At 39.1% G+C, this 13737-nt stretch overlaps 1 protein-coding gene and 1 pseudogene across 18 annotated transcripts in view; both read right to left on the bottom strand.

Annotated features, from left to right (window-relative positions):
• Nucleotides 1-62: 62 nt before the first annotated feature.
• Nucleotides 63-13737, bottom strand: part of ST3GAL6 (ST3 beta-galactoside alpha-2,3-sialyltransferase 6) — a 63591-nt gene continuing 49916 nt past the window's right edge. For 15 of the 18 annotated variants that reach the window (NM_001323360.2, NM_001323352.2, NM_001323362.2 and 12 more), the window contains 5 exons: nucleotides 10875-10970; nucleotides 7693-7879; nucleotides 7452-7589; nucleotides 3922-4074; nucleotides 63-2240 (listed from right to left, as the gene is read on the bottom strand). In NM_001323360.2, coding sequence (NP_001310289.1) covers nucleotides 2154-2240; nucleotides 3922-4074; nucleotides 7452-7589; nucleotides 7693-7879; nucleotides 10875-10970 — 661 coding nt within the window. In that variant the 3' untranslated portion in view covers nucleotides 63-2153. Of the gene's footprint in view, nucleotides 2241-3921; nucleotides 4075-7451; nucleotides 7590-7692; nucleotides 7880-10874; nucleotides 10971-12946; nucleotides 13058-13737 lie in introns of all 18 variants that reach the window. The other 3 variants (NM_001323358.2, NM_001323359.2, NM_001271147.2) reach the window with 2 other exon arrangements.
• Nucleotides 12525-13702, bottom strand: PDLIM1P4 (PDZ and LIM domain 1 pseudogene 4; annotated as a pseudogene).

Genomic DNA, 13737 nt, shown 5'->3' with positions numbered 1-13737 from the left:
CAGCAACATTTGAAAATGACACTGTTAGTTTACTTTGACTTTTTCTATGACCAGCGCCATCCTTTTTTTAAAAAAATAATTTCAACTTTTATTTTAGATTCTAAGGGTACATGTGCAGAGTGCAGGTTGTTACATGGGTATATTGTGTGATACTGAGGTTTGTGGTATGAATGATCCCATCATCCAGGTTGTGAGCATAGTACCCAATACATAGTCTTTCAGCCCTTGCCCTCCCCGCTCCCCTCGCTCCCCCCGCCGCAGTCCTCAGTGTCTATCGTTCCCATCTTTATGTCCTTGTGTACCCACAGCACCATTCTTTTTGAAGCCTGATTTACTTTATATCAATTGAACTTCAGCAGCCACACTGCAGCCTATGGCTGTGTGGTATGAGGGGAAAATCACACTGATTGATTACATGTGATTCCAGTTCTGGTACCTTCCTTTTGCACCTCAAAAAGTTATAAGAGGAATCAAAACTGTGGGACTCTGCAAACATATGCTGGTATTCATGTCTAATCTGGGTTAGATCAACTACTACTGTTCTCCCCTTTATTCTGCTTTATAAGTACCGCATTCTGTTTCTGAGCCAAATCTAATGTATTTCACCCTTTATACACCCTCTTTAGAGAGGCAGGTTGGTTGTCAGTAATCAAGCCATGGTTTTCCAGTGTTTCCCAATTGTATTTATTGGTCAAAAGAGAGTAATTCTTTCTTCAGCTCATACCTCTTCTGACAACTTTTAGTTCCATCCTTATAACCTCTATTTTTCTGTTTCTTCACCTCTCATTCCCCTACCTCCAGATGGCCTTTGGTTACATTTATTAAAATATAGGAAGGAAGACTAGCTCACCACATTTGTAGGATTGACTGGCTTGCATTGGATCAGATTCTCTGGTGCACCCTAGGTAGCCAGGCAAGCTTTCCATCTGAAGATTAGCTTTAATCATGGGAAAATGAGATATTCTTTTTGTACCATTTAAATCCAAAAATCCCAACTTCACTTTTTATATTTTTTAGAAGACAGCCTCACTCTGTCACCCAGGCTGAAGTGCAGTGGCGCGATCTTGGCTCACTGCAACCTCTGCCTCCCGGGCTCAAGCAATTCTCGTGCCTCAGCCTCCCGAGTACCTGGGACTACAGCGCATACCACCACGCCCAGCTAATTATTTTGTATTTTAGTAGAGATGAGGTTTCACCATGTTGGCCAGGCTGGTCTTGAACTCCTGAGTTCAGGCAATCCAGCTGCCTCCCTCGGCCTCCCAAAGTGTTTGTTAGGATTACAGGTGTGAGCCACCCTGCCCGGCCTCAGCTTGACTTTTCTTAAGTGTTTACTTGTTCTGTTATCTTCTTTACCTTTCCTAATTTACTTCAAGTGGAAAACCTTCAAAATTTAATGAATAAGTAAGTCAGGCAAAAAAAAATAATGTTCAAGATTTTTTTTTCCTTCTTGAGCTTGCCTAGCTTAGCTTCACTGTATAAAGTTAAACTTCATTTCTTTAAAATAATACAAAGCCATCAGAGTTTAGTAATTGTATTCTTTCTTTAGTTATTTACTTATCTAATAAGAACTTTATGTTTAGCCCATTTCCTTTAACTTAAAAACAAACACTGCCTTCATTGTACCAAATTACTCTTCACAATCATGGTTCATTTAATTCTGGGGGTTGTCAGGAGAGAGCTTAATTAAACCAGTATGAACTTAGATTTCCAGAGCCAAGTGGTTTCGGCTTGCCACATCAAGCCACAATCGTGATTTTCCACCAGCCATGTTTACAGTAGCCAAATATCCTCCTCAAAATGTCTTATTGTAGTCAGAATTGTTGTGGTAAACTAAATCCTTAGTAGGAAGTCATATCCCTTCAAAAATCTAAGATGAAGTAACTATAAAAAGACGTGTGAAAACACCTCAGAAAACTAGCTTATTTTAAAAACAATGCAATCAAAACTTATTTTCCTGTTATCTTTACATTTCTTGGTTTTCATAAGTTAAATATACAGTATTCACAGAAATTAAGCTGGTGGTTATGAATCACCAGGCAGCAACAGACAGTATACATAATTATTTGACGAGTGCATCCAACATATTTTAAACTAAAAATTGCAGTACAAAAATAAAACTAACACTGTTAGCATCATCTTCTGAGTCTGTAGAGTCAATCTTGAGTCAAGTTGATTACGAGGTTTTTTTCTATAATGTCCTTCAAAAAGAGCTGCTCTGCAGTCACATTGTGATACGCGTTCTAAAGAAGAAAAATACAATTACCATCATTCTTTCCCAATCTCAAAGTATTAGCAGCACCAATGGAGTACTTTATATCTAAAAAAATCCGAATAAAGAACTCGAATGTTAAGTAACGAGTTGCATGTACTTTTAACTTTTGATAGCCTTTTAAATTACTTTCCTTGCTGGTTCTTGTGCAAAAGCTTTCCCTACAGCCCACTCTTTCCATTTCAACTCTCACATAAGTAAGACTCCTTCATATCAAACCCTGGTAGACCGAATCATGGTACAATACAAATCTGGAGACCAAAATTTTGAGTTGTTCACTTTAATGGAAGAAGCCCCTAGAAATCAGTTTAAAAACAAACAAAATCAGCCTGGAGATAAACTATTATAATGCCTGGTTCAGTTTAAGATGTGTTAAAAATTACTGTTCTATACATGAATATCCAAGTTTTCTTCCTGAGGAAGTTGTTTTAATATTCTGCTCTTTAGATGACACTTGAAATACCACAAGTGCTACAGGAAAGTTTAGGGCGGAGGAGAAATCAGCCTAATCCAAAGTCTGTTGGGGTACCTCATTCTTGAAATACTTAAGTGCTTGTCTTACCTGGTGGGGACAGAGGGTGGGGGTGAGGGACAAAAGACAATACTAAATCTAACCTGATTTATACCACTTTCTCAGCTTATATAGTGGGGTGATTCAAGGGGACTGATTTCATGAGATATATCCATATACTTTTTATCAAGTAATATTTCAATATTAAAAGTATACAGATAACATTTTAATCCCATCACTTGTGATGCACTACTAATTTAAGTTAGAATTACAAAACTAGGAAACTCCTTCCCAGTCAAGTAAATTACAAATCCTTAGCCAGGCACAGTGGCCCATGCCTGTAATCCCAGCACTCTGGGAGGCTAAGGCGGGCAGATCACATGAGGCCAGGAGTTCGAGACCAGCCTGGCCAACATGGCAAAAACTCATCTCTACAAAAATACAAAAAAAAAAAAAAAAAATTAGCCGGTCGTGGTGGCGGGCGCCTGTTATCCCAGAAACTAGGGAGACTGAAGCAGGAGAATCACTTCAACCTGCGGGGTGCAGGTTGCAGTAAGCCGAGATCATGCCAGTGCACTCCAGCCTGGGTGACAGAGTGAGACTCTCAAAAAAAAAAAAAAAATTTAAACTAAAATTGTTAAAAAAAATAAAATACAAATCCTCACTATTAATCCCTATTCAAGAGAAGTGTGATCCAGTATGAAAGTTGGTAACCTTTTTGATCATGAAGATTCTCTTGTAGGGTTAAAATATTCTACACCATCTTGTCTACTTAAAAACAAATGAGAATAATTAAGCACAGCAATGCAAGGTGAATTTGTAATATCTCAAACACAGCAGGTTGCCTGAATTTCAATAGTGCAAATATAATATCTAAAGTAAGGTTCTGTACTTATATGGGTTTGATGACACTTGGCAATAACCATGAGGCCCATAAATTGGGATTTCATGCTGTAGTAAAATGATCCTGGACATGAGTTCTAGTTACAGCCCTTGGTAGCCCTGTAATCACCATCAAGCCCTCAACCCTTCAAAACGTGGTCCCTCAGTAAAATGAGTGTGAGAAGAGAAAATATGGGCTTTCCATCCCTCAAAGATTAGTCCAAAGCATATGTATATTACCTAAAGTACAGTATATTACCTTATTCATCAAAGACATGGTGGCATTCCCATAGTAGTGCAAAGGACTCTTGAGGTCAGAAAAGTTGTATTTAAAACCAGCTAGGTGAACTTCGTGACATATGTAAAACGCCAATGTGATGGCAATAATTCCTGTTGTTGGGTGTTTAGGTTTCTGGGGGAGGGGATGAAAAAAACTTTTTTAAGCAAAAGGAGCTACTTGTTACCAAAGCATATTTGGTTGGCTGAATCATATAAAACAGGGATTTCTAAACATTTAATAAGGAGAGAAATAACTAAACTCTCATTATAAGGCTCAAGCCCCAAAGAGTATGCATATATACCTTAACTCTAAAAAATATATAAACTGTGATTGAAATCTTAGGAAGTCTTTAAAATAAAATATAGCTGTGGTATTAGCCCAGAGGACAACTATCCAATGAAAGAATACTGTGAGGCTTAAGGAAGAGAATGTTGCTGTATTGTTTTAAAAAACACAAAAACATGATGAGTCAGGCTCCTTATGGCAAAAGCAAAGCCTGGGAATTTTGAACACGTGTATGAAATATAAGGACAGCTTCATTCACAAACGGATGGAATCATGATAAAAGACTTCATATAAATTCGCCTTCGAATAGCTATATTTTATACTCACCATTTAAACTAACTCTAGGGAAAGGCTAATCTAGTACTTCAATGATAAATTGTAACAGTATCTGACTAGAAAATAAATATTCCAAATGCATACATAGCAATATCACAATCTCAGCTGCACCATTATACTTTTAGAAAGAAAAACCAAGCATCCTCTTTCCTTATCTTACATATATCTTGAAAACCAGTGTGATAGATATTTGACAAGAGGGTCTTGGCTTTCAGAAATTGTAATTCTCACTGAGATGGCCTTCAAAGCGAAAAACAAGATACATCTTAAGCTTTTTACATAACACTTTCAATAAAGTGTTTCTTATAGTTCCCATTGAAATTACATATGACTTACTATGATTTTGAGGAAAAGAAAAAAAAATCGAAGAAGCACAACCAAATCAATTCCAGGAGGCAAACTTGTCCGAAAGCATTAACTGCCTTCAGCATAAAATTTTCTTTATCCTATGTACCATTGTAACCTAGGAGTCATTCAGCCTCATTGATCCCATTGCTTTTTCCTTCTCCTTGCCCCTTTTCATGTCTTCTACTTCCTTTCTTCACATCTTAAGAGTCCTTCATCCGTCTTTATAACCATTCCTTTATATAGACCAGCTCTTCTGCAGCCATCACCCACAGAACCTATATTACCACCTGACAAACTCTTATAAGAGGAATAAGCACTGCAGTCACCCTGTACCCACACCCCAGCAACAGAATAGGGCAAGAGAAAAATACGTTTACCTGGTTGAATGTTGAATTTATGACCCAACTCTCAAACAGGCAGTAAGTATTGCCTAGCAATCCAGTTACGTTTGACTAGTAAATTTCCATTCCTACTCTCCAAGATGAGAATTTATAACTTTGTATCCTGCAACAGCCCTAGTCTTCTTCCTAATTTGACTAGTTAATCTTTATTTTTTTAAGGAAACAAAAGCAGTCAAAAGAGTGGCTTCATCATCCCAACTCCAAATCTACCATCTTACCTGTATCTTTACTCACATTTGCAGTGCTTATTCCTCTTATAATGGATGAGATGTAACTTCAGCAACTTTTCACTAGTGTATATTTTATCCCATATCACTTCTCAACAATTTTACTTCTGTACTTAACTACTTTCTCCCCTCATCATCAGTGTTTCTTTCTGCTGAACCATTCCCTTCAGCATATACACAGACCAAAAATAAAACACGCTTCTTCGATCCTATATCATCTTCCAACTATTGCTTCATTTCTACGATCCTTGTTCTAGCAAAAAGTCCACTAAAGATTTGTTGCTGCTTGCTCATGTCCCAGGTTCTCTTCAACCCAATTCAAGCAGGCTTTTTCCTTCTTTCTTGTTAATATATATCACCAATATGACCTCCACGTTTCTAAAACCAGGGTTTATTATTTACATTCAACCTCTGGACAGCATCTGACATGGCTGACTTCTCTTGAAATACAGCATTTGATTTCTGGGACACCATGTCCTACTGGGACTTTGATGTAGCTACAGCTAGTTCTAATGTCATCACTAAGTATGCTCAGGGTCTTCCTGTGCTTTTGGAATTAAAGATATTACCTAAAATGAAGAAGCAAGAGATATACCTGATCATACTTCACTTAGGAATATAGGAAGTGAAAACTCACAAAACACACATTCAGAAGCTGTCCTTTACCCTCAAAATTACTAGGAAGTCAGGTTTAAATTTAAAACATGTATGCTTTTTGACTTGAGCATTCCACTTCCAGAAGTCCATCCTACAGAAATCCGACAAATGGGCAGAAAACCCCTATAAACACATGTACTGCTATATTATTTAAAGAGAAGAAAATGTTGGATATATCTGAGTGTCTATAAATAGGGGAAGAGTTAAATAAAGAGAAAAAAGAAAATAACAACAATACCTATGGTATAATCATAATTATACTGAACAAACAAAAAGATTATGTGTTTATGAATGCATAGCAAATAGTCTGGAAGCACATAAAAGGTAGAAAAGCTTGAGAGGTTACATGGGTTGTAGAGGGAAGAGAATAGACTGGTGACTTCCTTTTTGATTTTTAATATTCCTTTATTTCAGTGTGCAACACTAACATTTGTTTTCAGCATATAACACTTTTGAATTTCTTAATCACAATTCTTATCATGCTAAATATACATCATGAAAATACATGATGTATATTTATTTCTTTGGATTTTTCCCTACTTTAAAAAGGGGTGAAAAACTCATTTCAACCAAGGTGTCATGTTATACAGTTACTCAAGCTTCCAGTAAAAAATATCTCTGCCACTGTATGGGTCTAGAGTATTGTTTTCTAGGGAAAGAAGGCAAACAGGAGTGAAAGTCAATGAGATTTCATTTTGAAGTTTCAAGAACTCTTTCAATATTGCTGTAGCTACCATTTCTTGAGAATTTAATGCCAACATTTCCTCTGACCACAGAAATGTTTCTGGACTACTTTATTGTCCTTCCTCACCTTTCCTCTGGCTTTCCTGTGATATTTTTATCAGAGCATCTCAGACACTTCTTTTTAGCCTGCAAAGCCATGCACTTGGCCTGAAGCCAGGCCAGCTACTCTGAGCACAAGCCTGCCCGTCAGCCCACCCAGTCAGACTCTCCTCACTGCAGAACACTGAAGACAGAGTTATGAAAGATAAATTGTTTCGGCATGCACAAAGAGACCCCAGGAAGGCCCTACAAGGGCAGGAAAAAAACCCAACTTAAAATTACATTTCCTTGCAACATAAATGAAAAACATAAAGATAATATCCATAGATAACTACTTTTACTAACTCAGAGATGGCCCTCAGAAATCATCTCATGAGCTGTGGTTCTCATACAGTTTCTGAGAGTTCCCAGGACCCTCTATCCTACCTCAGCCAGATCTGTAGTTTGAAACCATGCAGAGATAAATACATACCTGATTTTTGGGAAACACTTTTGGAAAATGAAGCAGTTCATAAGCTGCTGTTCTGATAATGAAAGGATCTAATATTCGGATTTGATAAGGTTTATAAATCAGGTTTAAGGCTGGTTTCTTCCAAAAACCATTAGTGTTCTGAAAGTAAAAAATATAGAGAATAGAACAGTGTGGCTGTCTGTTTTTTAAGGAAAAAAAGCACTAAAGGTAATCTGAAGGCAGAACAATTTTGCCTACTTACTATTTTGTCACCCATCAACAATTCCAACAGCCACCTTAAATCATGTGGCTTAAAAGCAGTGAGAATCACTGTCGTATTAGGGTCATTGTGAATAGGATCTGAAAAAACAGATTCTGGATAAAAAAGTCGGAAGGTTGTCCTTCTCCCAACTTCTTCTTCATGTCCTAAAACAGGACCATTATTCATTCTGTGGATAGTAAAACATACAAGATATGTAGACCAAGTGCAGTATCTGCCATTCCCATCACAGTTCTCAGAGGTTTCAGAGTTGGACAAACATCAGCCTTTTATCCTGTGCTCTGAAGCCACAAAGCAATAGATCAATCTTTCACACATAATGGCCAAGGAGATCATTCCTTTTCATGAAATAGTTGGTTGATCAAAGGCAGAAATGTTCATTTGTATTTGAAAATTAATTGTGGAGCCAATGATAATTCAGTCTTACCTCCAGGGGAACTGAAGACTAAATTTAAAAAAGTGGGAACACAGAGCCACAGGATACCAGAGTTGAAAGAGAACTTGGAGGACAAACCCCTGGAGAGAAAATTACTTGCTCAAAGCCACACAGTCATGTAGCACATGGATGTGTGTGACTGACAGGTAAGAAGAATCACATTTAAGTTGGTTTAAAGACCCATCAAAATTGTTGTACTCTGAAATAAGGTTAACAATATAAATCTGCTATATTATATTCAAGCACAACCAAATGAATGTCTATTGCTAGAGTAAACTAAAGAACCACAAAGGATCTACTGTTGGGTTTGTGTATGCTGAAAGCCAAGGTTGGACATGCACTATTTATGCACACATTATGAAGCCATGCTATAAAAAAAGAAATGCTTTGTTTCCAAAACAGTGTCCCCAAAGAGATAAATACTGTTTTGCCCTTTGCTACTGACTCTACGTAATATAAGACGAACAGACTTATTAACACTTGAGATGACTTTCAAAATGTTGTACCCATGATATTTTCCTGCAAGGGTTTCCTGTGGCTCTAAATTATCAGATTTAGACAATTATGGGTAGAGAAACCTGTGATTGCTTCAAAATTGTTTTGTAGGTAAATTATCACAGCTTCCTCAAAATGGATAGTAAACAGAAAATAAGGTGACCTCACCATGCAGAAACCCTAGGCAGCTTGTAACCCCACAAAACCCCCAAAGCTGCCAAACCATCCTAATGTATTGCCTCAGTATGCTAACTTTGCCATTCTTTAAACTATTCATAGCTACTCCTAACACACACACACACACACACACACACACACTTATCCCAGATGATGACCTTATCTTGACCTTTCACTAAAAAAATAGAGATAGAAAGGTCCGTATTTTCCCCTCACTACATCAGAGGGACTCTTGGTAGTTGTAACCACAATCCTGGCTCTCCTTTCCATTATGAAACATTAACCACACTTGTGTTCTGAACCCCCTTCCCCTCTCTTTTACCACCCCAATCTCTTTCTCATTTCCACCAGTTAACCAATGTACTATAGTGCCTCCAATCTTTTCAAAAGAAGAAAACAAACAAAAAAAAAACCCTGATTGCATAACCATCTCTAACTGCCATCTGATTTCTCAACTCCTCTTTGAAGCAAAATCCCTGGACTACATTGGTTTCTCTACATCTTCATCTGTACATTCAGGTGTACATTCTCTGCATTCCCTCTTCGACCTAGTCCAGCCGGGCTTCTTGCCACATCACGCCTCTAAGCCTGCTTTTATTGGGAGTGTCAATGAGCCTCAGGTCACCAGTCCAATGGTCACCACTCTGTCCTTATCTTGCATGACCTCTCACCAGCACTGGGATACAGTTGGTCACTCCTTCTGTCCTGGAACACTTTGCTCTCTTGGCTTCTGTGATCACCTTCTCCCGATTTTCTTCTTACCTCACTGGTGGATCCTCTTCATCTCTTTTACACATTCCTTTTTCTTTGCTCAACCTCTAAATTTTGAGTTCTCTGAGGCTCAGTCCTCACTCTCTTCTCTCTCTCTCAGTCTCTCCTTGGGAAATCTCACCCAGTCCATGGTTTAAATACAGCTTATAGGCCACACACCATCAAGATTTTAACCTGTTTATCCAACTGCCTACTCGACAAACCCACTGCAAATCTAACAAGCATCTCAAATCTAACATGTTCATATCATGGTTTTCCTCTAAACCTGCTCCTATACCAGTCTTCCCCAACTTAATAAATGATACCACTCTCCAGCCAATCTCCTAAGCTGAAAACAGAGTAGGAGGCATCCTTGATTTCTTTATTCTCATTACTCTTCACATCTAATACGGCAACAAATCCCGATAACTCTATGTCTAAAACACATCTTCAGTCAGTCCACATATCTCTTCCTCTCCTACAACAATCCTGTCCCAAGCCACCATCATATTATACCCGAATACAGCAACCTAATTGGCCTCTTCATTTCCACCCTTGTCCCCCACATTCCATTGTCCATGCCACAGCCAGAATATTTAAGACATAACCAGACTGCTTTGTTCTCTTGCTTAAAACCCTTAAAAAGCTTCCTGTTGCACTTAAAATCCAAGTTTCTAATCCTAGCTTACAAAGTCCTATGCAGCCTGATCTTTGCTCACCGCTTCAGCTTCCAATTCCACCACTCTCCCCCTGCCTGCTACTTTCCAGCTTCACTGGGTTTCTTTGCTACTCCTCTCAAACTCAGGATCATCTCCTCCTGAGGCCCTGCAGCAAACATCCTTTCTGCCTGGACTGCTCTACCATAATCTTCATATGGCTGTTGCTGTGTGGTCACTTGGGCCCTGCTTAGATGTCTCTTTCTCAAAGTGGTCAATCATTACAAAGGAGCCATTCAAAGATTCTCTGTTATATCCTTTTTAAATTATGTATGGCATTTATTATTTTTATATATTTAATTACTCATTTTCTTCCCTCCACAGGGAGCACAAACATTGTTCTTATCCATTGCTATCTCTCCTGTGGCTAGAAGCATGCTAGCACACTAAGGAGACTTAACAAATACTTGCTAAATGAGTAACCTGAAATCTAGGTCTAACTCTAGCCAACAACCAAGAGAGAAGGTTGTGCAATAAAAAAAAAACCAAATGGAAACATCTCCCCTTCCTGTCAAAACACAGCTGTATTAAGGCAAGAAACCATATTCTTTTGAAACAATTCTAGGGTAGCAAATAGAAAATATATTTACCTTATTATTACATCATAGGAGTCGATTTTTTCTCCTAATGTCTTATTCTTCAAAACTCCTCCATTACCAACCACCACACACTTTTTACAGGGTATGCTGTTGGACAGATGGACAAGTGAGAGATTGAGCCATCTTTTACAAAACTGATTCCAAGAATCCATGCATACTGTCAGAAACCCAGTGCCAAATTCCACTTGTTGCGCAAGTAGAAAAAGAACCAACTGCGACTTACAAGTCTAGAGCTGTATTAAAAAGATACAAGATTCAATGAGTAACATTCTATAGGAAGAGCATATCATTGTCAGCAACTATTATCAGCCCATACATGTTCTCTCATTTGATTCTCATACCCACCTATTGAGATAAGTAAGCCTGATATTCCCAGTATACAAATGAAGAAAGAGGTTCAGAAATCTATTATGTAACATTTTAAAGTCATACTCCAAAGTGGAACTAGCATGTGGATCCAGAACTTGAGACTGTGAAACACACCTCCATATAGGACTCTGCATTTGTGTTTTACATTATGCAGGTCTACATTCTTTGCCAGCATTACCCACTCCTCGAAGATTCTACCTCTGGCTCTCTGCTGCACAAGTGTGGAGATGGACAGTTTGGAATCTGGTGAGAAAAGTGCAGTTTTCTGTACCCTGCCCATGCTCACTTCAATTTCTCAAACATGGACTGGTCCTTGGAGCTTAACCAATACAAACTAAAAGTTCACGCGGTGTTCCTGGCAAACAGCTTTAAAGTAGAACACAAAGGGGAACTTCGTGTTGCTGGTCCATCTCTCTCCCAGCTCTTACCCTCACCCAGGCAGGCCTGGAGAAATGACAAAATAGACTGTGTCCTTGCCCGCTAGGGAACAAAACCACAGAAGGGAAAGTTGTTGAGGCTATCCTTCCAGGGCCCTCATGGCATGGAAAGTCTAAAGAGAACACTGTTTCCCTAAGACCCGTGAAATCAGCAGACCAGATGAACTCAAGACCTTAAGGATTTTAGGAAATCAATGAGTAGCAAAACTGTACAAACACTGTAGAACCCAGAAACATGGAGAATGTGAGAATTCGGAAACTGTTTAAAAGAGCCAAGCATTGGCTTTGTCAGGTAAACAGGAGATGATGTACACACTCCTATATTCATTAAATTTACCTTTTTTGAGTAGTACAGTTCATCTGATTGTAAGGTTTAAAATTTAAAAAATACTTTTAACATATTTTAATTGGAAGCTCTATGCTCTCAAATATTAAAGAGTCATGCCTAAATCAGTGTCTACCTAATCAGTCAAGAAAAATAAGTACCAGTGGCACAGGTTGGTAAGGACTTGGGGGCGGGGAGGGCTGTCCAGCAGATGCTCCTTCAGTGTGTGCCTGAAACCTCGCCTTGTGGACACATCTCATGTCACAGTAGGTTCCAGAAGGGTCTGTTTGTTCATTTAAATTTTCTTTGCATTTTTTTTATTTCTTTTTTCTGGGAGTCTATAGATGGAGCAAAAATGAAATCAATGTCAGACATATTATATTTGATTTGGTTCAAATGTGGCTGATGTCCATTTGCAGCAGAGAAGAACTGAGGGGAGGAAGGTACACAGTGTTGCCGGCAAGGGGACACTGAACAAAAACAGTTTGCCATTCATTGTAAAAGTGGGCGGGCACCACACAGTCAGTGTGAGTCAGTTAACCAAGACAAGGGACTCAAGGTTCAATGAGCAGGGATAAAACCAAGGTAAGCGGGTTGTGGGGTGGGGGAATAAGTACAGAACTTTCAAGAGACAAGGCCAGAACATTTAGAGAACTAGCTGCAGCAGAGGCTGGCTGGAGAACGGTGGTCAGTGCAGGTCTGCTGGATCACTTGGGGAACATGATGACCACATCGTACCCTCAAGTGGTGTGACTTGCTCCTGGGCATGCTCTTCACAGTAGATTTGATGGAAAAAAAAAAAAAAAAAGCCCTTCTCTTTCGGGTGAGTGTCACAATCAGTGCACACGTAACATTCAGGGAGGGGATGATGGTCCCCGCAGCTTTACAAACATGCCTACAATGCCAGGACCACATTTGTCACACATGGGCACCTTCTGAGCATTTCCAATTGATGCAGCCACTGAGTAATAGACTGAGCTGAGTAACACTTCTGAATCCTGAGGGTTGTTGAGATCCCCTTTTATCTCAGACTCCAGGATTTCCTGCAAAATCAGGAAAGAGGTAGACTGTTTCAGGGGTTCATTCAACTCCTGTTTCTCCTGAAGCATCTTGTAAACTTCAGATTCTTTGTTGATTATGAGACCACTTGGAGGCTGAACATGATCTATGGACACGCCATTGGCCTCCTCCCTGCTGGCAGCAGTTTTTGAAATACCAGCAATATGGTATCTCAAAGTATTGTTGAAGTTGGAGATGTTTTCAGAAGAGAGGCCAGCTGGGTTACTGTACTGGTTTGGATGACCCCAGGGACAGTGCTGGAAGCAGGAGAGGCAGTAAAGAGCATGGTACTTGGATTGTAGGCACTTCCTACGTGCAGGACCTCCTGGGGTTCAGAGTGTAAATTCATCTTGTATGGATGACACTTCCTTTTCTCCATCACCAGAAGAGACTAGATTTTATATTCAGATCTGGCTATTGTGAGAGTCATGGTACAGCCTTTTGACTTTTTTCTGAGCTTCCAAGGGCATCATATTGCTGATATTTTCCCTATCAATGGCTGTAATTACATCTTGCATACATCAATTAGCTATAGCAGCCTTGCTTCTGAAAGTGACTGGGAAAACAGCTGAGAAGCTACTGGAAGTCCTTGCTGTCCAGCAGGCGGAAGCCTCATGGTCCTGGGCTCTCTGTTTCTAAATAAGAAAGTAACATAACTCTAGAT

Source organism: Homo sapiens, chromosome 3, assembly GCF_000001405.40.
Source record: "Homo sapiens chromosome 3, GRCh38.p14 Primary Assembly".
Classification (NCBI taxonomy): domain Eukaryota; kingdom Metazoa; phylum Chordata; class Mammalia; order Primates; family Hominidae; genus Homo; species Homo sapiens.
Note: the sequence above shows the minus strand (reverse complement) of the source record. Positions and strands in the feature narration are given on the sequence as shown.